Source organism: Homo sapiens, chromosome 10 (assembly GCF_000001405.40).
Source record: "Homo sapiens chromosome 10, GRCh38.p14 Primary Assembly".
NCBI lineage: Eukaryota > Metazoa > Chordata > Mammalia > Primates > Hominidae > Homo > Homo sapiens.
In genome coordinates, this window is record NC_000010.11 from 93660333 (window position 1) to 93684705 (window position 24373).

General features: G+C 36.1%; 2 protein-coding genes across 7 annotated transcripts in view; one reads left to right on the plus strand and one right to left on the minus strand.

Moving 5' to 3' along the window:
- Positions 1–5678, plus strand: part of PDE6C (phosphodiesterase 6C) — a 53474-nt gene extending 47796 nt beyond the window's left edge. Inside the window, exons 19-22 of the mRNA NM_006204.4 lie at positions 1727–1801; positions 2228–2311; positions 2696–2846; positions 5028–5678. Coding sequence (NP_006195.3) covers positions 1727–1801; positions 2228–2311; positions 2696–2846; positions 5028–5086 — 369 coding nt within the window. The 3' untranslated portion in view covers positions 5087–5678. The remainder of the gene's footprint in view (positions 1–1726; positions 1802–2227; positions 2312–2695; positions 2847–5027) is intronic.
- The window catches only part of FRA10AC1 (FRA10A associated CGG repeat 1), a 35077-nt gene continuing 18254 nt past the window's right edge, over positions 7551–24373 (minus strand). For all 6 annotated transcript variants that reach the window (NR_144635.2, NM_001347714.2, NM_145246.5 and 3 more), the window contains 5 exons: positions 23724–23766; positions 21148–21266; positions 16321–16359; positions 10438–10516; positions 7551–9536 (listed from right to left, as the gene is read on the minus strand). Coding sequence is in view for 5 of the 6 variants with exons in the window: in NM_001347714.2 (NP_001334643.1) it covers positions 9494–9536; positions 10438–10516; positions 16321–16359; positions 21148–21266; positions 23724–23766 (323 nt within the window). In the remaining variant the exon portion in view is untranslated. The remainder of the gene's footprint in view (positions 9537–10437; positions 10517–16320; positions 16360–21147; positions 21267–23723; positions 23767–24373) is intronic.

Genomic DNA, 24373 nt, shown 5'->3' on the forward strand with positions numbered 1-24373 from the left:
GAATTAGATAGTCATGGAGAAATAGAATTCAACAAAGAGGGTATGATCTAATCGTGAGGCAGCTTAGCAAGGCCGATTTGTTCAGATTCTTCTTGGCATCTTTGTGTCTCTGGCTCCTTTCCTCCAGGAATAGGGAGGGCACCTCTTGAATGAAGGTCTTATGATCTGCTTCAGGGGAAGGTCAGAAAATCCTTACCTGGTTTTATGACCTACTTCAGGGGAGAAGGTCGGGGGAAGGTGAGACTGATCTTCCTGCTGCTTTAGTTTCCTCAAATTCCGTCACCTTAAAATATTTGGGGGCAGGGTGTCCTGAACTCCGTCACCATCAAGTCCAAAACCAAATGCTTCCTCTCCTTCCACCTCGACATGCCTGCTCTTCTTCCTCTGTTCTTTATCGATGAGGTCACCCAAGCTAGAAACCTGGGGTCCTGCTTGAGCTTATCTCCCTCATTTCAAAATCATTTATATCAGCCTCGCTAGTACCTCAGTTCTGACTTTTATCAGAACTATGGTAGCAGCCTCCTAATAGATGCTCACATCAACTCCACAAGTCATCCTCTGACTTGCTGCCAGGATGTCTCTACACAGAGCTCAACTCAGCCATTCTACTCCTTAAAAGGCTCATACTCCCCATTGCCAGAGGTTTCCAACTTCTTTCCCAAAGAAGTAAAGTCTATTTTCTCCCAACAAAACTTGCCCAAAGATCACTTTATAAAAGAGAAAAAAGCAAAGCTACTTTAGCTTTCATCTCTCTTGGTCTCCACCTTCTTGGGCCCTAGAGCACTTCAGGGGAACCCTAGACTCCAAGAGTAAACAGCACTGGCCTAGAGAATCAAATTCAAGCTTCCTGGCAAAATTTACATGGCCTGTCACTGCCTGTCCTCAACTCACACTCCCAGCATCAATTCCCATCACCTTCTCCCATGTCATTGCTTCACACTCTAAGCCTGCACTCACAGAAGCTTTGTACGTTCCATTTTATCTCGGCAAATATTCTTCCCCTCCTCTTTTCCTGGAAAATTACTCTTGTTCTTCACAATACAACATAAATGCCACCTCCTTCCTTCATGAAACTTATCTTTACTCCCTTCTCCCTGACCCATAGCACTTACACTATTATTGTTACAGCACTTACCACACTGTATACATGACTGTCTTCGCTAGACTCTGAACATTTTAAAGAAAAAGATCACCCCTTATTCCTCTTGGCAAGCCTGGCTCATGCCAATGTAAAGGCAGCTAGCAGGTGTTCAATGAACTTGATAAATGTTTTTTTTTAGTGATATAAATTAATGCTGGAATATCCTCACACTGTAATTAGGTAAAGCTACATACTAATGGGTGTATGTCACATGTGCATTCACAGACATATGCTAGATGCTAACAGATAGACAGGACAAAGAACAACCGGCGAAGTGTTAGAACTTGAAGCATAATATTTAATCCTCCTATTTCTCCTTTTCGTTGGTGAGAAGTGGTGGCAATCGTAAATGGGAGATAGATACTCCTAGAATAAGCCTAGAACACTGAAGTAGGAAGAAAAAGCTCCCCTTTCGCATTTCAATATAATCTGTAAATGACCTCTTTTTAAAAGTTAAGAGCATACGGTTTGATAGCACCTCAAACATTGACTGTAAACTCGATCCTTAAATGTCACTTGTACTAATAAAATGCAAGTTCTCTATTCATAAGTGGATTTAGTGAACCAAGCCTTTCTCATTTGCAGGTAGCACTTATGGTTGCAAATGAATTTTGGGAACAAGGAGATCTGGAGAGAACAGTGTTGCAGCAACAACCCATTGTAAGACCTTGACATAAAAATGTATTACTTATTAAAAGTTATCAGGACAGGCCGGGCGCGGTGGCTCACACCTGTAATCCCAGCACTTTGGGAGGCTGAGGTGGGCAGATCACGAGGTCAAAAGATCGAGACCATCCTGACCAACATGGTGTAACCCCGTTTCTACTAAAAATACAAAAATTAGCTGGTCATGGTGGTGCATGCCTGTAGTCCCAGCCACTCGGGAGGCTGAGACAGGAGAATCACTTAAACTCAGAAGGCGAAGGCTGCAGTGAGCCGAGATTGTGGCACTGCACCCAGACTGGAGACAGAGTGAGACTCTGCCTCAAAAAAAAAAAAAAAAAAAAAAAAGTTATCAGGACAAATCAGTCTGTTTTGTTCATACATCTTAGAAACCTGTCTTAAAGGATTTATTTCTCTTTCTAGCCTATGATGGACAGAAACAAAAGAGATGAATTACCTAAACTTCAAGTTGGATTTATTGATTTTGTTTGTACTTTTGTATATAAGGTAAGTAAGCAAATTATTTGAATTAAATACATAAACATTTGGATGAGAAATTTTCTTTCAAACTGTCACCAAAATTTAGAAGTCACCCATACGGAAAGCCATTGGGGTATCACTGTTTCTCCAAAGCAGTTTGAGGTTTTACCCTAATCTCATTCAGGGCTGGAATAAAAGGAGGGAACTCAGATGTGAGCGAACTGAACACTTCCTTAGGCAGGCAGTAAAGACAGCACGTGTCTCTTTCCCAAACTTCATAGGCCCGTGGTTAAACTTATCCTAGCAGCTCTGAGTGCTGTAACAATTCCTTACAGCTCACTCTCTGCATATGAAAGATCCTGAAAATTAACTGTATGATTTATGTAGTTTCTGACCTAAAATTCCTTTTAGGAGTTCTCACGGTTTCACAAAGAAATCACACCTATGCTGAGTGGTCTTCAGAATAACAGAGTAGAATGGAAATCACTAGCTGATGAGTATGATGCAAAGATGAAGGTCATTGAAGAGGAGGCAAAAAAGCAAGAAGGAGGAGCCGAAAAAGGTTAGATGGGCTCTGTTTTTGCTCCCTGTAATGTAGCCAGAAGCTAGGCTGAGCTTAATGGCATGTGACAAAGCCATAAAGAGTCACCACAAACAGAAAACCTGCTTTACTGGTGCAGACTGATCATTTTAACAGGCCGATTAGTGGTTTTCAGGTCCCCCTGGCCCTGCCACAGACAACATCTTATGTATAACTCCAGATCGAATTGACCGGTCCAGTTGAAGTAGAGGTTGGAGCTAGGCTTCTTCATCTTGCTAGAAGGTGGCTCCTCTGCAGAACACTGGGTGCTTAGGGATAATATGTAAACTACAGAATCTGGGGGATTAGAGTTAGGTGAGAAAAAAGTTTTTGTCCCAACATTATGCATTAGCTGTGAGACCTTGGGCAGCTTGCTTAACCTCGCTGAGTTTAATATTCTTCTCCATGTAATGAGGTGGTTTTACAGATCTTCAGCTTAAGGAAGCCCTACATGTAGAGTAAGGCTGAAATTGCCGGTCTCCCAAATGTCTCATTGGGAGATGTTTTTCTGGCATGAGATTCCTGTGCCATTTTTTTTCTGGCATGAAATTTCTATTCCTAAAGTCACTTTGTCAAGTTTAATGTTGTTTTTGGATTCTTAAAATGCTTAGGATTAACTATTAGTTCATCAGATGGCCCAAACATCATTTTGAAAGTGGAATGCTAATTTCTGTCTTGAAAGTTTATCACTCTGAAGGTTTTGTAAGCAATTGTTATTGCTTAACAAAGAAATCATCTCTATGTGGAAAGGCCCTGACATGTTCCTTTTAGGTGGCTCTATTGCATTTAGTGAAATTTTAAATAATTCATAGGAGAAAATATTTTTCTTAACAAAGTTAAGGATGTCCTTCAGAATAAAAGCAGGAGTTTTTGACTCCTTGATATCCATTCACTTATGTATTTATCAGATGTCTTCTCTGTATAAAGCCCGGTGTTAGGCAGGCCCTGGGGAAAGATGGGATCCTTTATCTTGAACAATTTACCATTTGGTGGGGGAACTAAACATTGTGAACCAATGCACAATTAACGATCTCGAAGAAGGCACTAGTGTGCACATGGGCCATGGAGAAGGCTTTCCTGAAGAATGCTTACGCTAACCACAGAAAGCAGGCATTGGGGAGGAAGAGTAAGAAAATATGTACAAAGGCTTGGAGTAGGAATAAGCTTGGTGCAATTGAAAAATTTTTAAGCTGATATAGCTGGAGTCTAGAGAGTAAAGAGTGCGAAGTACATATGAAGCTGGTAGTGCAGGTAGCTGCCAGATACTGTATTGCCTTGAAGGTGGGCTAAAAATGTTCATGGGTCATTTGAGAGATTTAAGGTAAGATATGATTTGCATTTCAAAACAATAAGTGATTTTTACCAAGCAAGTGAAAAGTGAGGGTATTTCTTAGTACTATTAGATTTAACCTTTATCTCAACTTTATTATGAAGAGATGATCAGGTCCTTTAAGTGACATTGGATATGGATCTGTATTTTATTTGCACAAAAATTTACTTCTGAGTTTTTTTGCTACTACATAGAGAATTCTTTGTGGACTAAGATCATTATTTTCTATCACCAGGCATGGAGCTTTGTGCATCAAGCTCAGATTTCCAGACTGCATTGTCTCAGTGAGAAACTAAGATGTTAACTGGCCAACCATTGATCAGATTCTGTTTTTTATTTATTTAATTTATTTTTTTGAGACGGAGTCTCACTCACTCTGTCGCCCAGGCTGGAGTGCAATGGCATGATCTCAGTTCATTGCAACCTGTGCCTCCCAGATTCAAGCGATTCTCCCACCTCAGCCTCCTGAGTAGCTGGGATTACAGGCACATGCCACCACACTCAGCTAATTTTTATATTTTTAGTAGAGACAGGGTTTCACCATATTGACCAGGCTGGTCTTGCACTCCTAATCTCAAGGGATCCACCCGCCTCAGCCTCCCAAAGTGCTGGGATTACAGGCAGGAGCCACTGCACCTAACCCAGATTTTATTTTTTGAATGGACCAACTCTGAATATTAATTCAAGTTTTTACATGGTCAAACCCACAGTACTTGCTAGGTTAAAATGACTAATTAGTCTACAAAGTTGACACTACTATCATGGGAATGTTAGAATAAAAACACTGTATATCCACTAACTCCTAATAATATTGCTTTCCTTGATTTTACTAGCTGCTGAAGATTCAGGAGGTGGTGATGACAAAAAGTCCAAAACATGTTTAATGTTGTAATATTATCTAACTGGTCTAAACTTCAAATATCATTTTACCTTTGAAGAAAACCAGAAAACATTCAAAAGAACTTCAACAAATCATCACGTAACAGGATCTTCAGAAAAACTACCCTGTGACTATGAAGAAAATATATATTGCTAGCCCAAAAATCCCAGGGGCAAAATAAAGTTCAACAAAAGTGCAAAATATGACAAAAATAGGTACATTTTTGGTGCCAATTTATTTTAAATTAAAAAATATGCAATCCTGAAACTAGTCACAAATTCTTTTTTAAAACATTAATTGTATTTATTTGCTAAGGCTGCTATAACAAAGTACCACAGACTGGGTGCTTAACCAATAGAAATGTATTTTCTCAAAGTCCTGGGGGCTGGAAGTTCAAGATCAAGGAGTTGGCAGGGTTGGTTTCTTGGGAGGCCTCTCAACTTGGTTTGCAGATGGCCATCTTCTCCCTGTGTCTTCACATGGTCTTCCCTCTGTGTGTCTGTGTCCTAATCTCCTTTTCTTATAAGGACTCCAGTAGGACTGGATTAGGGCCTACCCATGTGACCTCATTTTAGTCTTAATTACCTCGTTAATGGCCTTATCTCCAAATACAGTCACATTCTGAGGTACTGGGGATTGGGGCTTAAATATATGAAATGGGTGAGGGGTGGGGGAGACACAATTCACCCATAACATTCGTAACTGTGATTCATACCTCAAGCCACTCCCCGAACTAAAATCTCTCAACATCTTAATAAAAGAGTAAACGCAGTATAGAATGTATAGTGTTGTAAATATGATATAGAAAATAATGATGTCATTTTATTCAACGTCATTCCATCTGAAATGCTTATCTCTTTTCTCTACTTTTACCCTTGATAATAGAATGATGAAGACCAAACTATTTTTTGGCAATATTTATTAAAACTATGCCTTTGACCTACACTCCTCCTTCAAAGTTTGAAATCAATTATTTTGGGTGTAACTAAGAATATTTTTTACAGTTCAGAACTATTCTTTTCATTAAAAAGATTATCAATGCACAAGATTCTAACTGGATAATCATAATGCAAGTTAAAGCAGCTAATGAATATTATGCGTTAAGAAGCATGTGATTGGATTATGCAAGAACCTTATCAAAAATAGTACAGAAAAACTTCAACCAAGATGACTTTCTAAAAATGATTAATAGACCTACCAGGCATTCTAAATATTAAATTGTTAAGACAAACTAAGGGCAATCAACTACTTCGACTGCATGGTATATGTCTGTCTGGATATTCGAGAAATTTAAGATTTCTTCTTTTACTTATCTATAATCATAGATAAAATTAGAAAATAGAATAATATAGTTATGCCATATATTTTATCATAGAATTTTTTTGTCACAAGCTATCTACAGTCTAAAGAATTGAACATCAATGAACCTATATATTTTGTAATAGACAAGATAATGTTCAATTTTGAGCAGCCAAGAAATGAATCGCCATTTATTTTTATAAGTTAGGTACTTAGAATTGTCAGACTGCTTCTCTCACATTAGAATGTAAAATTTATGAGGAAAGATTTTGTCTATTTTGTCTGTTTTGTTCACAGCTCTATCTCGGCACCTAGAGCAGTGCCTGGCACAAGGTAGGCACTCAGTAATATGAATGAATACTATGTGAATAAATGTTACAACAAACAGATATAAATAAGGTATGACAGTAAGTCATATGTACACTCAAATGAGTATTGTTTATTAAAGTAATCAACTTAGCTAAGTGATGCATGCTCCCTTATTTCCATTGCTTAAAATAATTTTGAAATTCCACTTCCAGAAGCACTATTATTTTAAAAACCACGTAAGAAACGTTATTCCTTTAGCCCTATGTAATTTTAGACCCCAAAACATCAGTCAGCTCAAACAACTTCCCCTCCTTAGTCACCAGAAATTGTATTGAGGGTAGAGATGTCCACCACTGAAGGTCTGCCAAATACATGAACTCTGCATAAGAGCAAGTATAAGAAGGCCTAACTTCAACACCCCCAGACCAGTGGTCTGCTGACCACCACTGACCGCACTATAGCAAAGTTTGAGATAGGTGTGTAGGAGAATTACTTTTTAAACTCATCATATTAGAGGCCTTTTCAAGACTCCTTAAAAACATAACTCCCATTATCTGTCACTGTGTATGCATGGATTAAGTATTGTGATTTTATATAAATTTATAAATGAGCCTGATGTCATAAATCTACTTGAAATACCAAATACACTGATCTATTTTTAAAGGGTCTTTAGATATTCTTCCTAGTTAAATTCCTAATTTTAATTTTGCAGGAATTTTACTTTCTGACAACCACTAAACAATGGACATATTTTTACCATAAGAATGTTTAACTGCATATATTCTACTACTAATATCAGTCTTGCGGCTGGACATTTCAAACACTTTTTCACCGGAAATACAGATTCATTTTTACACACTACAAGTAGTGAGGTGAAAAAAAACAATTTATTCAAGAAGTGAGGGGACTATCAAACAATGTTAAACACTGATAAACCCAACACTGATTTACTTTTCTGAAACAGGTTCAGAAATGATTGCATAATTACTTCCTAGATGGTTCCTTTACAGCCATGCCCAGCTCAGTGCCTCACATATAATAGAAGCCTGATAAATATTTGTGGAATTAATGAATAACTGTTTAATAAAAGGAAAATCTCTGATAATAACCATTTTAAAATGATACCAAATTACTCATTTTGCAGTTTATTGCCAATCATTCCGTGTTTAAATGTTATTTAAAATAGTATATCTTCAATAAAATACTTGCTTATGTTCAGTTCATTTTCTATATGTCCTTTCTCTTATTCATCAAGTCAAGCATCTTCTCCTATATCTATCCATCTATTTGCTCTTTATAAAAGCAGATCTTTGCTAGTTTTCAGAAATCAATAAATCCTTTTGAAAATCTGATTTTTGAAAATTTGAAATTTATGGACTTTTCCTCCAAAAAACATACACAGAAGTTTGCACAGATTCTAAAAAGGCTTGGATCTCCTGAAGCACCTCCATAGACCCTTGCGACTAGGACCTTATGTTAAGAAGTTACATTTTATATTTCTGCATAGAAGTTCTATTAGTCCATTTTCACACTGCTGATAAAGACATACCAGAGACTGGGGAAGAAAAAGAGGTTTAATTGGACTTACAGTTCCACATGGCTGGGAAAGCCTCAGAATCATGGTGGGAGGCAAAAGGCACTTCTTACATGGCAGCAGCAAAAGAAAATGAGAAGGATGCAAAAGCAGAAGCCCCTGATAAAACCATCAGATCTTGTGAGACTTATTCACTACCACAAGAACAATATGGGGGAAACCGCCCCCTTGATTCAAATTATCTCTCACTGGATCCCTCCTATAAAATGTGGGAATTATGGGAGTACACATTCAAGATGAGATTTGGGTGGGGACACAGAGCCAAACCATATCAGAGGTATATTCATATTTGCATGAGTATATCTGAGGCAAGATACATGCACATAGTATTATTCAGTTAAATTATCTTACTGCATAATCTCTGCCGGGGAGGCAATTTTTGTGAACACATGAACTGTTTTAGACTACTGGGACCTCACTGGCTCCCTGTGGTAATAATTTACTTAATAGTAAATTATCCACAGGCTAGGAAGTCAAATTTGATTATAACAAACTCTCTTAAGTGGTAGAGGTTAAGAAGGAAGCAAGAGACAGGCAAGCAAAAAACCTCAAAAAGCAGCTGGAAATAGGTGGTAATGGGAGAGCAGGTACTTAAAAGAAGGGTGCCAGTTTATCAATGGGAAAGAAAGAAGTTAAAGACATACATAATATACTTTAATCCTAGTAATTTAAAATAATTGGCAGAGCATGGTGGCTCACACCTGTAATCCCAGCACTCTGGGAGGCCAGGGTGGGAGGAATGCATAAGGCCAGGAGTTTGAATACCAGCCTGGGCAACACAGGAGGACTCCGTTTCCACAAAAGAAAAAAATGAAAAACAAACAAATCCAGTATTGGTGGCTCTAAAAAAGAGAAAAAGAAGAAATAATAAAATAAAATAATGAAGGCAAGAGAAGATACATAATGAAGGCAGTGAAAAAAAACCTACAAAATGTAGGAACAATGGAATCTGTCCAGCTCTATCCTCTAGGAGCTACAAATAAAACAGAATTGTAGATAAGCAATTGAAAAGATATTTAAAGGACAGGAAAGTCTTTAATTGAACTAATGAACTTCCAAAGCCTCTGACATTCTGAGAGAACCTGGATTTTTATTTCCAAAGACAAACCACACAAGCTGTAACTTGCAGATAAAAACTTATATGGAATTTCAAATTGCATGAAGTTTAAAACTTCATGAAGTTTCACATTAAGGAGCGGAGGCTTCTCTCTCTCGTCTCATAGAAACAAATCCTGAAAATACTCATCAAATTCTTCTTCCCTATTTAAAAAAAAAAGCATACTTAAGATCAATAGAGTAAAAAAATTACTACATGATACATTATATGAGATTAATAAAAATAAAATACTTTAAGTCAACATATTGGCTGATTCTGCTATATATCAATATATTGCCATGATTCAGCCATCAAATAATTCTTAGTTTCTAGAATAATCATAACTATACCCAGATTGATTAAAATAAAAATATTTCATATGGTGGCACCTCTCCCTAAATGTATTACCTAAAATTTTGCTTTGAAATACTTGTGAAATGTCATTGCTTCTCTTTACTTTGTGGGCTTACTTTATAACTTCTCTGTTCATTCTCATTTTAAATTATAGTCTGCTCAAGAAGTGAATAAAAAAGAAACTATTTTTAAGGAAAAATGTAAGCCTAAGTTATATTGGGGAATAACTAAGGGGAATTGGGTAAATCTCCTTAGGCTGTAGTTTTTTTACTACACTGAGCATAGTAAATATATTATGTATTTGTAACAGTAAATATTATTATTTTACTTTTTAAAAGACCAGTGGGATAGCAGTATAGAAGTGTACTTCCCATGCAAGGGATTCCCTTGCATAGGTTTATGATAATCACAGTATGATGGAATAGGCTTCTCTGGAAGCTTAGGAAACAGCCATCTCTGAAGAAATCCAAGCAAGGACCAGAGGTTCATCTGTTAAAGTGAACTGATGAAAGATTTATTTACCAGGAGGAAGCTGGATGTGTTGGCTGCTTATGACAATGGCTGGGAATAAGCTCTAATCTTACCAGGCTAGGCAGTCCTTGGCATTAAATAGATCACCATGATGTTGTATTTTTCCATTAATAAAGCTGTGGTTATAGCTTCCTAAACTGATTGAAAAGGTACATATTCTCTATTAATATCAGCACTTACTGTGATTTTTCATCTGTCTCTGGTAGTGGACCCTTCCAAAGTTCAGATTCTGAAGCACTTTCTTCCTCATCAGAGTTTCCTGTTCATTTAAAAAAGATGATTTTTAAAAACCTATTATACTTAAAGCACATTTTGAATTATTCGCCAATACAATTAACTTTTTATTTAACTCAGCTTCAACTTTTATGACTCTCTAGAAATTTAATTCACTCTCACAGGTACAATAAATTCTTTTAAAACATATATAAATAAGCCAAGGGTTACCAAAGAATCTCAGCAAAAAGGCCAAGGATTTTAAGTCTCATCGAAACTTCTCTAAGTTACACTGAGTTAAAGTAGCAATTCCAATATTAACTCTTGTAAGTCAATTATCTCTTGCAATATAGTTGTCTCTGATCTAGTTTCTTCTTTTTCTTGGTTACACAGAAGACACGCAAGTTAAGATTTACATTTGTAGAGAACATGTTTACATTAGGATTAGTACCTTAAGAACTGAGCTAGTATGTAAGACCAGCTAGTTAAATTATTTTAAAAAAAATTGTCAGACATTTTAAAAAACCAATGCTGATTACATAATGAGAAGAAGCCTGTTTCAGGGAAGAAACTGGCATTCTCACACATTGCTGGGAGTGAAAATTCTGTAAACCTTTTTCTGGAGAAAAATCTGGCAATATAGATCAGTTTAAAACGCATACCCTTTGACCAGCAATGCTGCTTTTAGGAATTTGATTACTTACATACATAAATAAGCACCTCTGATACATATGTACAAAGATGCACACTGTGTAACAACAACAACAAAAAACCTAATTCCCCACCAATTAGGGATTAAGGACTGGTTAAATAAATACTATACAGCTGTTTAAAAACATTAGCATATCTGTATGTACTGCAATAGAAAAATGTCCATTCTATATCAAATTTTTAAAAAGTTACAAAAAGTATGCATAGTATAATAGATATGTTAAAAACATATGCACATTATATACATACATGTAATTTTATGTACGTATTGTAAGTTTGCAAAAGCCAACCAAATTTAACTGATTATATTACCTGTGGGCCTGGAATACTTTTACTTTCTATTTTAAACATTTTCAAATTGTTTGTATTTTAAACAATGAGCATGAATTACCTTCAAAATCAGTAAAAACAATAAAGACATTTTATTAAAGATGACAAAATAGATATGTTTCAAATAAATCACCTGTATTAGTCAACTAAAAATTTAAAAATACTGCAAAATTATCAGACAATAACACTATAACTCACAAAGTAGTTACATTAGCAGACAACTCCTCTCCAATAATGATTATTAGTCTAAAAAAGAAATGGCACAAATGTGGCCTGTCAATACAGAATGTCCTTTAGTTAAACACAACATAAAAATAAAACAGCATTGATTTGTTACGGTAGTTCTAGCCTTTTACCTGTTGGACTCTGATCCCTGAATCAACATGTGTGTCTGAACTTTGCTCCTAACTGAATCTATTCTGACACCAATTCTAGCAAAAATGGCAAAAGTGGGGGAGGGCATTTTGTATTCTAATGATCTACATACAAATGATAAAATTTTAATCTTGAAAACAAGATTCCTGACTCAATGACAGCCATCACTGGAATGGCCAGTGTCCCAAATTGATAATGTGAGGGAAAAAAAGAATTAAAATCTTCTCTTATTTTTATGAAAACTCATTAATATGAGATAAAGAAAGCAGAGAAAAATTAATTAGGCCTAGCAAGGTTATTACTATTGTATTACTCTGCTAATGTTAATGATGCCAGAGAACGAAACCTACAAGGCCTTTAGAAGTGGACAGCTGTTATCTTGTTCCCTTCCAAGAGTACTTCCCACATGCCAGCTTTCTTACACCAGTTTTCTGATACCAGTCAATTTTACTAAAAAATCAAGTCAGTTTAGAGTAACATTATAAACTAACTGTCTTAAAAAATACCCACTAAAAAAGTGGCCAGATATCCCTAGAGAATCAAGTCTACAAGACTGGACTAAATGACCTTTAAGGTCCCTTATAACCCTATGAATCTATAGTATCCTGGTTCCCTGAGGGTTGGCAGTCACTACAAATCATTGCTATCATAACTGTTACAACCTGCCAGGGGCGGGAGGAGTGTTACTAAGGAAATAACAATTGGAAGAACAGGCAACACAAAAGAATGCATCACTGTCAAATCTATTCAGTGATTATTGGTAAGTAGGGATCAGAATTTAAGTCACTGACTTTCTGAGTTGAAAGGGGAACCTGGAGGTCATTTAATCCAACACTTATCCAATGAATGAACTTTCACTGCAACACCTCCAATAAGTGCCAATCCAGTCCATGCTGGAACACTCGCTACTCCAGAGGCAGCCCATTTCTCCATTCCTTTTGTCAGACAGTTCTAAGGGACAAGTTTTTCCTTAAATTAAGGCAAAAATCTGTTTTTGGGCAGTTCTGCCAACCCAGAGTCATAAAAAATAAGTCTCCTACATAGTAGCAGCCTTGCAAATATCCATACAGTAATTTCCATGTCTACTTCCTCACCTCTTCCCTCCCATCCTTTCACTCTTCTCCCAGGTAAACATCTGCAGTTCCTCCAACATTCTTCCTACAATATAATTTCAAGTTTTCTCCATACCTCAGTTTTTTTCTTCTTGACCTGCTTCAAGTTTTCAATGTTCCCTTTAGAGTGTGGTGCCTAAAATTATATACAATTTTTCCTACATGTTTTGAATAATGAAAGTAGGTCTATCATCTTGGTTTTTGTGGATATTATATGGTAACTAATAACTTGCACCACTGAAGAAATGGCAAATGTCTCCAATAATCATGGTAACAAATGGACAGGTCAGATTTTTATAGACTTAACTTTTGATTTCATCAATTCTAGAGAACAAACACAGGATTTATATGTCTGTATTTTTCTTTTCTCTGATAACAATGATAGCTACAGGTTATCAAGGACTTACTTTGCGTCAGGCACATACTTTACATGTATGTTTTCTCATTTGATTCTGATAATAATCCAACGAAGTAGGTCTCTTTATACCCATTTTATAGACAGAAGTGAAACATAGATCAAATCATTTAATGTGGATCTGTACAATGCATATGCCAAAACTGAGGTATAAAGAATAGACATACAGTTGATTTCACTGATGAACAGTTATTGATTGATGATACAGGTAAAGGGCATAGACTTTGGAATTATAAACTTATGTTTAATCCCAGCTTTGCCATTAACTATTTGACCTTGGGCACTTTACTTCAATTCTTTGGTTCTTGGGCGATCTCATGTGCAAGGTGACTAAAGATAACAATACTTGAAATTTGTTAAGAGGGCAGCAAATCATCAAGTTGTATACTTTAAATATATATATTTTTAAAAATTGAGTTTCTTCATTCATTTAAAGACATTCTCTAGGTCTTGATTTTTCTCATCTACAAAACGAGGATATTATATGCACATTATTAAGATTAAATGAGGTAACATATCTAAAGCACTTGTTACTGTCCCAACAGAAATTGAGTTTTTCTCCATGGATTTGGTTTTAATAATCCAGGTGTCAAATGGGTTAAGAAGGTAACTGAGTATTGTCCAAATGGAAATAAAGAGCAAAATGTGAGGTCTGAAATTGCCAAGACCATGTAATACAGATGACTGACCACCTGAGAGGATATCTGGGGTTGGCATACCATAACAATGTATATGTTTCATGCTTGCTATGGTAAATAGCGTACCGGCTGCCAAACAGCAGGTCAGCTTGAAGTGGATAGTTTGTTTTTTCAAGATCAAATTAGCTAGGGGTTTCTCAGATTGGATATAGTCTTCACAGTATTCACCCTGCTTCTACTAGTAAAAATTTGACTTAGCTGAGGAGAGGTAAAAGAGCATTAAGGGCTATTTCTAGGAAGCAGGGAAGGATTCAAAGGGCAGGGGGTGAAAGACAGTGGGAAGGAGAAGGCAGGCAGAAGAAATAAAAGAATAATATAAATCAGTGATTCAAGAATTTGCCCCAAAAGACTTTTTAAGGATAAAAAATTAGAACTGAAAAAGGGGAATTTTTTCTATATTGCATAAGCATTCACACCTCTCACTGTTGGAAATGGATGAAAACTAAAATACACTCTCCCACTTTAGCCTGTGTACACCTTTGTTGAAGTATGTATCTATGATTTCATCCTGAGATAACATTGGTCCACTGGTCTTATACTTGAATGTATTTTCGAAACTGTCACTACATTTTACCTAATTTAGGAAAGGACCTCCTGATAAATTAGAATTTACGTGGAGAGAAAGAGTCAGTGCTTTAAGACACTTCAAATATGTTGAAAACAAAGTTCGTACAAGCAAAATAATTATAAGGAATATACTATATTCCTAAGAGAGGAATACCTCCATCAACATCTCCCTCTCTGCTAAATTTTTAAACAACAAATATCTTAACATTTCTATTTTTCTCAGTGCAAAATTTCTGATCATTGAATATTTAAAATTTCTTGTTAAGAATTATACTAAATGCAAATAATGTTTATATTTGAGTTTTGAAATTTAGAATAATCATCAAACTTTTTTCCCTGAGTTTGCCACAATAAATATTATTTTAAAGTCATAAAAAATTTTTTCTTAATTCTTAGGTTTATAAATAACCAAGTGACCAGGCGTGGTGGCTCACGCCTGTAATCCCAGCACTTTGGGAGGCCGAGGCAGGCAGATCACAAGGTCAGGAGTTCAAGACCAGCCTGGCCAACATGGTGAAACCCCATCTCTACTAAATACACAAAAATTAGCTGGGCATAGTGATGGGTGTCTGCAGTCCCGGCGACTTGGGAGGCTGAGGCAGGAGAATCACTTGAACCTGGGAAGCAGGGGCTGCAGTCAGCTGAGATCGCGCCACTGCACTCCAACCTGGGTGAAAGAGCATGACTCCATCTCCAAAAAAATAAAATAAAATAACTAAGTAAGCCTAGAAATCTCAAGTTTCTAAATTTCTATGAGATAAGTCCAGAGAGTATAAAATGAATTAGATATGCTATTGAACTACACCTTATTATTAGGCCTTGAGCCTACTACAAGTCTTTAAAAAATTCAACATTATATTACTGTTTAGATTCAAAGCTACTGTTTGTTATGACACAAATGGATGTACCCTTTTATAAACCCATAGAAGACTCTTCTCTCAAAACTGCCAGCAAAAAGCTGAACACTCCAGGAGTTCTCATTATTATCTTATGGGTACAATTAATCTTTCTATTGCTGGTTTCACTCTTAGGTTTGGTTGTTAGGAAGAACACTGACAAATCTGTGATCTATCTCTGCAATTATGCAGGACTTTTTGGAATACATTTGTGTGTATAAATTTCACCTGTAGTTTTACATTGCTATTCTACCTTATTTTTCCATTATTCTGACTTTTTTAACCTTAAAAAAACTTATTGTGTATGTTTTTATAAGTCATTGTGAATACTTTTTGGAATATTGCAGGGAAAAAATAATAAAATTTGCAGCAAATACTCAACGAAATCCAATCTGTTTTGATCCAAACTAGTGAAAACCATAGGCCTAATTTAAATCCATTTCAACCTCATCCCTTTATCTTTCTTCCTTCACATTTTATAACATGAAATTGAAAGATATATCCATTGTATTTACTGGAAAAATTTTTAATGCTCTCTATACTTAAAATAAGAAACTTCTTAATGCCCTTAATTGGGGAATAAATCCTATACACTTTTGGCCTTTTTTCTACAGTTTTTCTCATGTACAAAAATAATTAACAAAAACAAAAAATAATTCACATCACAGCAAGATACGATTCATGGGAAATCTAAATTGCAAATACCTCAAATGCATATTTTTATTAAATAAACACTTGTTACTTACTAAGTAGAGAATCTTCAGATTTCTTTGAAGATGAATGTCCTGAAAAGGAAACATCATTGATTTATTAACTATCATCTTGTAATAGTGCAATCATTGTAGCTATAACCAGAATTCTTAGCAATATTCTAGTTTGCTTATAGTCTTACAGATAAGCACTTCACTGTTTTCTAATCTTTCATGTTCCTTAGTCTTATCTCCCTCATTAAAATGTTACGTTCTTTTAGGCAGAGATCATATCTTATGTGCTCATATGGTCTGTAATAGCCAGCACAAAACAAAAAATAATGAATACCTGCAAAAAAAATCTCATATTGCTAAAAAGAAAACCTCACAGATAATTAGCTGCAATATAAGCAATAATTTATTATCTATAGAGATGTTCAACATTTGAAAGCAGTTTACAAATAAATACTTGCTTTTTACAGTATCTTTTCTAAAGTCATATATGCAGGTAAGTATTAGTTCTCAGAAACTGATAAGAACACAACACAATTATGTCATAAAACAAAAATTCTCAGCTCTACAATGGTCATCCAGTGAGAGAAAGAGAGAGAGAAAGGCACTGAAGATCGGTCAGTGTAATTTAAAAAAAAAATCACCACGATACAGAGCTTCCTGCAATAAGACCTCAGGGAAAATATTTCTGAAGGATGATAAAGTAAAAAAGGGCAGGTGACAGATGGACAGTAACAATTCCTCCAATGTTCCTGGATAGGAGGCCTCGTAACCCAAAGTTTTTGGCCCCTTTAGACCAGATGAAGAGTATAAGAACTACAGGGTAAGGAAACAGGAAATGTATTCTTTCCTGTCATCCTCTAATGAGGAACATGATACCTGCTTCCCAATATCCAAAGGTCCATAGGTAAAAAAGACGTTAGGCTTAATTTGGAGGCCCAAGAACATAATTAGAACCAAAGGGAGGAAGCTGTAGATTTTGGCTGAATGTTAAGAGAAACGTGCTAGCAAATACAACTACCTGAAAATGTAAAGCTTTATTTTTGATAGTAGTGGGTTCCTTTTCCCTGGAAATGTTGAACCAATGCAGAACAATCACATAATATACAACAGTGCCTCTCTCAAACTTTAGTGCATATGATTCGCCCTGGGAACTTGTTAGTAGATCTGGAAGGGTCTGAGATTGTGAGTTGCTAACAAGTTCCTAAATGCTGCCCAGAGGACTTTACTTTGAAAAGCAAAATTAAAGAATATCCTTTCAGTCATGATTCCAGGACTGATCTCTGAAGTTCCTTTCAACTTTCAGAAAATGTGGTTGAATTCACTGATTCACTCACCTACACTTATTGAATGCCTCCTATGGGAGCAAGCACTATTAGGAATTAGAGATAACGAAGTAAACATGTCACACAGTCCCTTCCCTTACAGAAAATAAACAATTTATTCCAAGGATACTATGTATTTCTAAAGGAGAAGTGACAGGTATTATTGGAATATGTAAGAGGAACATAATCTTATTTGGAGAAGTGAGGAGAAGGGTGTCAGGAAGGGCCTTTCCAAGGAATTGAGCTAAGCAGAAACCTGAAGGATGACGTAGCTTTTGGGAAAGGGGTGATGGTGAGACAGATAAGATTCTGAACATTTTGCCAAGACAGTCTACCTAAATATCTTGTTCTCCTCATACCTGCCAAAGCAGACTGGTCCTTAAAGTCAGCTACTGATCTTTCTTATTTTTTCTCTCTATCCATTCATTCAGCTATCTAGTTCATCCATCTATTACTTATTTAACATTTTCTAAGACGGTAACCTAAAGCTATGAGAGTTGATGGGATTACACTGGGAGTACAGAGAGAAACTAGAGAAATCTAGGTAAGAGCCCCGAGGAACTCTAACAGCTAAATGTAAGACTGAGAAGGAACTTCAGTTAAAAGCAGCTAAGGAGGTCGGGTGTGATGACTCATGCTGGTAATCCCAGCACTTTGGGGGGCCAAGGTGAGAGAATTGCTTGAGGCCAGGAGTTTGAGACCAGTCTGGGAAACAGCAAGACCCTGTCTCTGCAACAACAACAACAACAAAATTAGCTGAGTATGGTAGTGCAGGCCTGTAGTCCCAGTTACCTGGGAGGCTGAGAAAGGAGGATCACATGGGCCTCCGAGGTTAAGCCTGCTGCAGTGAGCCAAGATCATGCCACTGTATTCCAGCACTCCAGCCTGGGGCCTGGGTGACAGAACAAGACCCTGTCTTACAAAAAAAAAAAAGCATTAGCTAAAGAGAGGCCAGAAAGATAGAAATAAAATTAAAGGAAGTTGTCAACAGTCCAAACGCAGCTGAGATGTTAAGCGTTTATTAATTACTCTTCAAGTCTGGTCCAAATTAAGGTGGTCTGGCAAGAAAGAATCAAATCAATGATAAAGCTAATTCTAGATGATCCCAGATAAGATATTAAAGAGTTCCACATGGTTTTCCTAAAAGTTTGCTAAAATTTTGTTATTTTCTGTTATATACCATAGAAGTTGGGGGTAAAAAAGCTATATTTCTAGAGACTTTGCTTTCAAAGGCATTCTAAATAGAGAATACATAAGAAAGAGATGTCTCAATTCCACCTTGCTTTGGTCTTCTATCCCTGAAGAATCTTCAAAGTCCTTTACTGATTATTATTTATGCTGAACATGAGCTAGTGGGGTGCTGGGGATATAGCAATGAACAAAGCAGGCAGAATCTCTGCCTCTTTGGCTTTTACATCGTCATATGTGTAATAATGGAAAGTGTCAGGAGCCATGACAGCATTACAAATGAGAGTCCTAATTTAGATTCAAGGTGGGGGATGAAATCAGGAAAGGATCCTTGGAAATGACATTTAAGAGCTTAGACCTGAAGGATGAGCTGGGATAGAACTGAGAGTTTTAGGAAGAGAAGACACAGCATCCATGTAACCCCTAAAATTGAAAGAGGCTTGACATTTTCCAGAAACTGAAAGGCTACATGGGGGGAGTGTGAACGTGAGGTACAGAGTGGTAAGAAACAAGCCTTGTATAGTACACAAGTTCTGGATCACAGAGAACCTTTTAGCTTTGTCCAGGATTTTGCTTATCAGCCTAAAAACAACAGGAAATCACTGATTTATGGAGAATGGATTAAGAGGAGGGAAGGTGGGATGGCAAGACAGAGGCGGAACCCGTAAGGAGAATATAACAGTAGCCTATAAGAGAAAATATAGTGGTTTGTAGTAGGGTGGAGAGAACTTGAGAAATATATACTCTGGGGGTAAAATTCACAGGACTTGGTGACAAATTAAACATAAATAATAAGGGGAAAGAAAGTATCAAGGATAATCCCCAGATTTCTGATATTAGTTTTTAGGTCAACATAGGTGTCATCTACTGACAGAACACTAAGGGAAAAATGTCTATAAGGAAGATCATGTGCATATGTACGCATAATACGAAGGGTCCAACCTTAGCCCTGAACCTGAGCATTCATCTACCTGATCTACTTTGATTGTACTGAGTAACATTTTATAAAGTAGAGACTAGTTCTTTCATTTGGAATACGCAGTGATTAACATGGTATCACAGTTGTGATAAGAATGAACATATAATACAATGAGGGCAACAAATTTCTTAAGTGACATATTAAATGTTTTACTAGCATATAAGGATAAATAAGTTTTTAAAACTCAAAACATATTTTTAACATTTATTGGTTAAAATTTACCTTAGAGTGGAAAATAATTAAGATAGAGACAAAAAAGGCATTCTGCTACAAATGCCATCTCTCAATAAGCAATAAAATAACAATATCTTCCTCTCACCATCTATCAATTTTACGAAGTCTAAAGGTTGGTGACACCATATACTTGAAGCTATGGGAGTAGACAGTATCACAAGGGCACACAGATTTAAACTCTGCTACATAATGAATATATTACCATGTGCAAGAAGAAGTAAATGCTTCTAAGCATGCAACATAGCTAATGATCTTCATAGCTGGAGCAAGAGAGCCCTCTCCTGTCCAAATATTATATTAACATTGGCTTGAATCTAATTCAATTACCTATCTAGATTAGTCTGATTCACTATAAATTACAGCCGATTGACTCTACTTTATTATGGGCTAAAAAAAGCAACTAGAAGTAACCTTCATAATAGCTAATATGTGCCAAGTACTATGCAAACTGCTTAATGAATTATCTCGTTTCAACTTCTGAACAATTCTAAAAGGAATCAAGACCATTTTACACATGAAGAAATTGAGTCTTAGCGAGCTTAAGGACTGCTAAAGAAAAAGCAGGCAGTTCTAAGTATAGGTGCACAGCACCATGCTAGGCTCTGAGAACACAGATATATGACAATCTTTCTCATTTCTAGAAACTCATAAACTAGTAAAAAAAGTCACACAGGCCATTATAAATAAAATCAGTGTTACAATTTTATATTGATTTATAGATTATAGACTGTTTAAAGGCACTGATCAAAGTCCCTTTCACATTCTTATTTGAGTTTCCACAATAAGCTTGACCAGTATGAAGGCCAGGTATGCACCTCACCCCTATACACATAAGAAAAATAAAGCAGTTCAGTGACTGATGCAAAGTAACAAGTCTGTAGGTGACAAAGCCAGGAATTAGAAAACTGTTGGCAATATTATACTATCTGCCAAAAATGAACTAAAATTAACCCTTAATTAATTTAGAGGAGTTCTTAAAACTCCTGTAAGTCACTTTAAGTTCATATCTAAATTCTCAGCCAGTTTCCTCTCAACTACCATAAAATGAAATTCTCAATGCATTCACCAATTAGATGAATGAAATATGGCAGATTATATTTCATGCTCACAAATGTGAGTAGATGCCTTATCTTAATTTCCTTTTACCTTTATCTTTTTTCTTGGAGGCCTCTTCTGCAGAAGATAATCTGGATTTTTTATGTGATGACTCTTCACAGTCTTTTTTGGTTTTATCTTTTCTTTTTTTTGACTTGATTTCTTTTCTCCTTTGTGTTAAACAATATAAAATTAAAGTTAACTTTTCCAACTGACCTTTTCAAAAATAACCATCATATGAACAAAAAACCAAAATCAGTTAAAATACTTATTTTTTAAATGTGATTTATATAATAAGGAACGTTAAGTGAGACTGTAAATATTTTATGCTTGTATATTAATTAAAATCATTCTATAAGATAATGAAGTCTTAACACTGACACAAATAATTACTTTCTATAAGTTCTGTATACGACCATAGTAAATACAAATTATAATTGTATTTGTTTCTTTCTTTCTATATTCTATCACTTAGCCATTTAAAACTAAATTACAAAAAAAAGCCTCATTTCCCTTCACATAATCCATATCCACCTACATGTTAAAAAAACACAAAGAAGAAGAAACTGCTGAACAGCTCTAAGCCACCAGTAAATAGAAATTTCTACTCTTAAGAATAAAGGAATATAGTAGAAGCATAATGGAATGAAAATGGAAAGGGCTTATTGTTAATTCATATATCAACATCAGGCCACTTATAATTTATACTCTTATTGTTGCAGCTTTATCTCTTCTAGAGCAGGTTTACAAGGTTGGCAAACAATTAATTAATTTTAATAGGTTAAGAAAAGAAATACTAAATGGGAAAAAGTGATAATGCTGAAATTGGGACTGGCAAGGAGAATAGAGACAAAGGAAAAGATTACTTTCAAAAAACTTGTTCAGTAGATTTTCCAAGTTAAAGTACATCTACTAAATGCTATAATAGTATTTAATGCATTAACCACTTTTGCATATTTTGTAAGAATCATTTCCATTTTGAAATGAAGCTCAAAAGTCAAGGTCAAAACAAATCCCTGCTTTCTTTCAGTATCACTGATGGGAAGGGGAAATAAAGGTTTAGGCTATTCCAGTAATCCAAAAAAGTTCTGGCCAAGTGTGGAGGCTTATGCCTATCATCCCAGCACCTTGGGCGGCTGAGGCAGGAGGACTGCTTGAGTCCAGGAGTTTGAGACCAGCCTGGGCAACATAGGGAAACACCATCTCTACAAAAACTTTAAAAAAAAATTATCCAGGTTTGGTGATGTACTCCTGTAGTCTCAGCTATTCTGGAGGCTGAGGTGTGAGGATCACTTGAGCCCAGGAGGCTGAGGCTGCAATGAGCCATGATCACACCACTGTGCTTCAGCCTAGGCAACAGAGTGAGACCTTGTCTCAAAAAAATAAAGAATAATGAAAATAATAAAAATAATCCTGCTAATTTTAAGAATTAAAAATATTATTTAACATTTATTTTTAACAGCTAAAATACTATATAGGCACATTTATAACAAAGCTGTTATTTTTTGACAACCCATGTGATTAAAAAAAAGAAAGCTATTTTAAAATTAATATGCTTATGTATACATTTTATAAAGTTGCAAAAGCTGAACTTTTAACTGTTATCCAGCGCATAAAACCTGACCATCACAAAGGCAAGTTGCGAAGAATCAGTGTGAACATCTTTAATGCCAGGTACTGTGGCAAGCACTTTACATGCACTTTCATTTATTCCCCACAATAGCCTGAGTAGCCTCATTTTTACAGGTGATAAAATTAAGCCTTACAGAGGTTAAGCAGTTTGCCCAAGAAGAAGCCTAGTAAGCGGAGAAGCTGAGATTAAAAACTGAGGTCTGATTTCAAACCCCATAACTGCAGGACACTGGTATTCCCACACATTCAATGTGGCAGATACATTAAAGCTCATTCAATAAAAGCCTGATTTTAACTTTTTTTTTTTTTGAGACAGAGTTTTGCTCTGTTGCTAGGCTGGAATGCAGTGGCTCAATCTTGGCTCACTGCAACCTCTGCCTCCCAGGTTCAAGCAATTCTCCTGCCTCAGCCTCCCCAGTAGCTGGGATTACAGGCACCTGCCACCACGCCCAGTTAATTTCTGTATTTTCAGTAGAGACAGGGTTTTACCATGTTGGCCAGGCTGGTCTCGAACTTCTGACCTCAAGTGATCCACCCAAACTGGCCTCCCCAAGTGCTAGGATTACAGGCATGAGCCACCGCGCCTGTTCTTGATTTTAACATTTAAAATGAGTATAGAGGTGTCTAATCCTTTGTAAGAATGGCAAACTCCAGCTAAAACACTGTCTAAATGAGACACAAGAACTGCTTTATGAAGTCTGCTTTACAACATAATTTCTAATATTAAAGTGTCAGAACATTGGCTCCAAACTAAAAATTCTAACATCCATCTACCACCTCACATAGGCCTTTACATTTAAAACTGCTTGGCAAGAATAGGGCATAGCGGACTTCTAAACCCCTCGTTTATGTAGCCATACGACAATGCCACATTTTCTACATGATCAACCAATTCAACCATCAACCACCTAAGTCTACATTTAGATACTTAGTGCAGGTAAATGACTATATCCTGGATTACTAAACATTAAGAATGGCATTTTAAAAGACATTACCTGTGATGGAAATTTAATTTAATGGAACATTCTTGGCATAACCCTAAAAAGAAAAGACACCACTGAATGGCTGATTTTGAATAACCACACTGCTAATCTACTTTTAATATCATAAATTCGCACTTTCTTTATATTCCATTACTATAAGAGGGTAAACAAACAATCCAAAGAAAACAATCTGACCTTCATCACCTCAAAAATGCAAATATATACACACATACATATAATAAAAATATTAGCTTGAGGAATTGAAAATAACACTATTTTAGAAAAATGTGTTGTCAATTTGTTCCAAAAACAAACTGTGTTCCACAGGCACATTAACATGTGTCTCACATCAAAGATATCTAATAATAATGTGAGTATAGTCATTTCCTCTGAAGTGCTCTAAGAACTTTCAAATGCAAAGGAGCTTTTCAAATAGTTCCATAATTGTGGTCTCTTTTTTTTTTTTTTTTTGCCTTAATCTCAGTTCACACTGGCTGACTTTTCCTCTTGAGCACTTCCAGAAGGAACTCAGAAATCAGTCTGTATTGACATGCATACGTAGCATGTGGGGACATTCTTGACTTTTATTAGGTATGAGCAGAAAACTCTGAAGGCACATTTACTTAGGACCCAGAGAAGGCTAGAGGAACAGCTGACACATG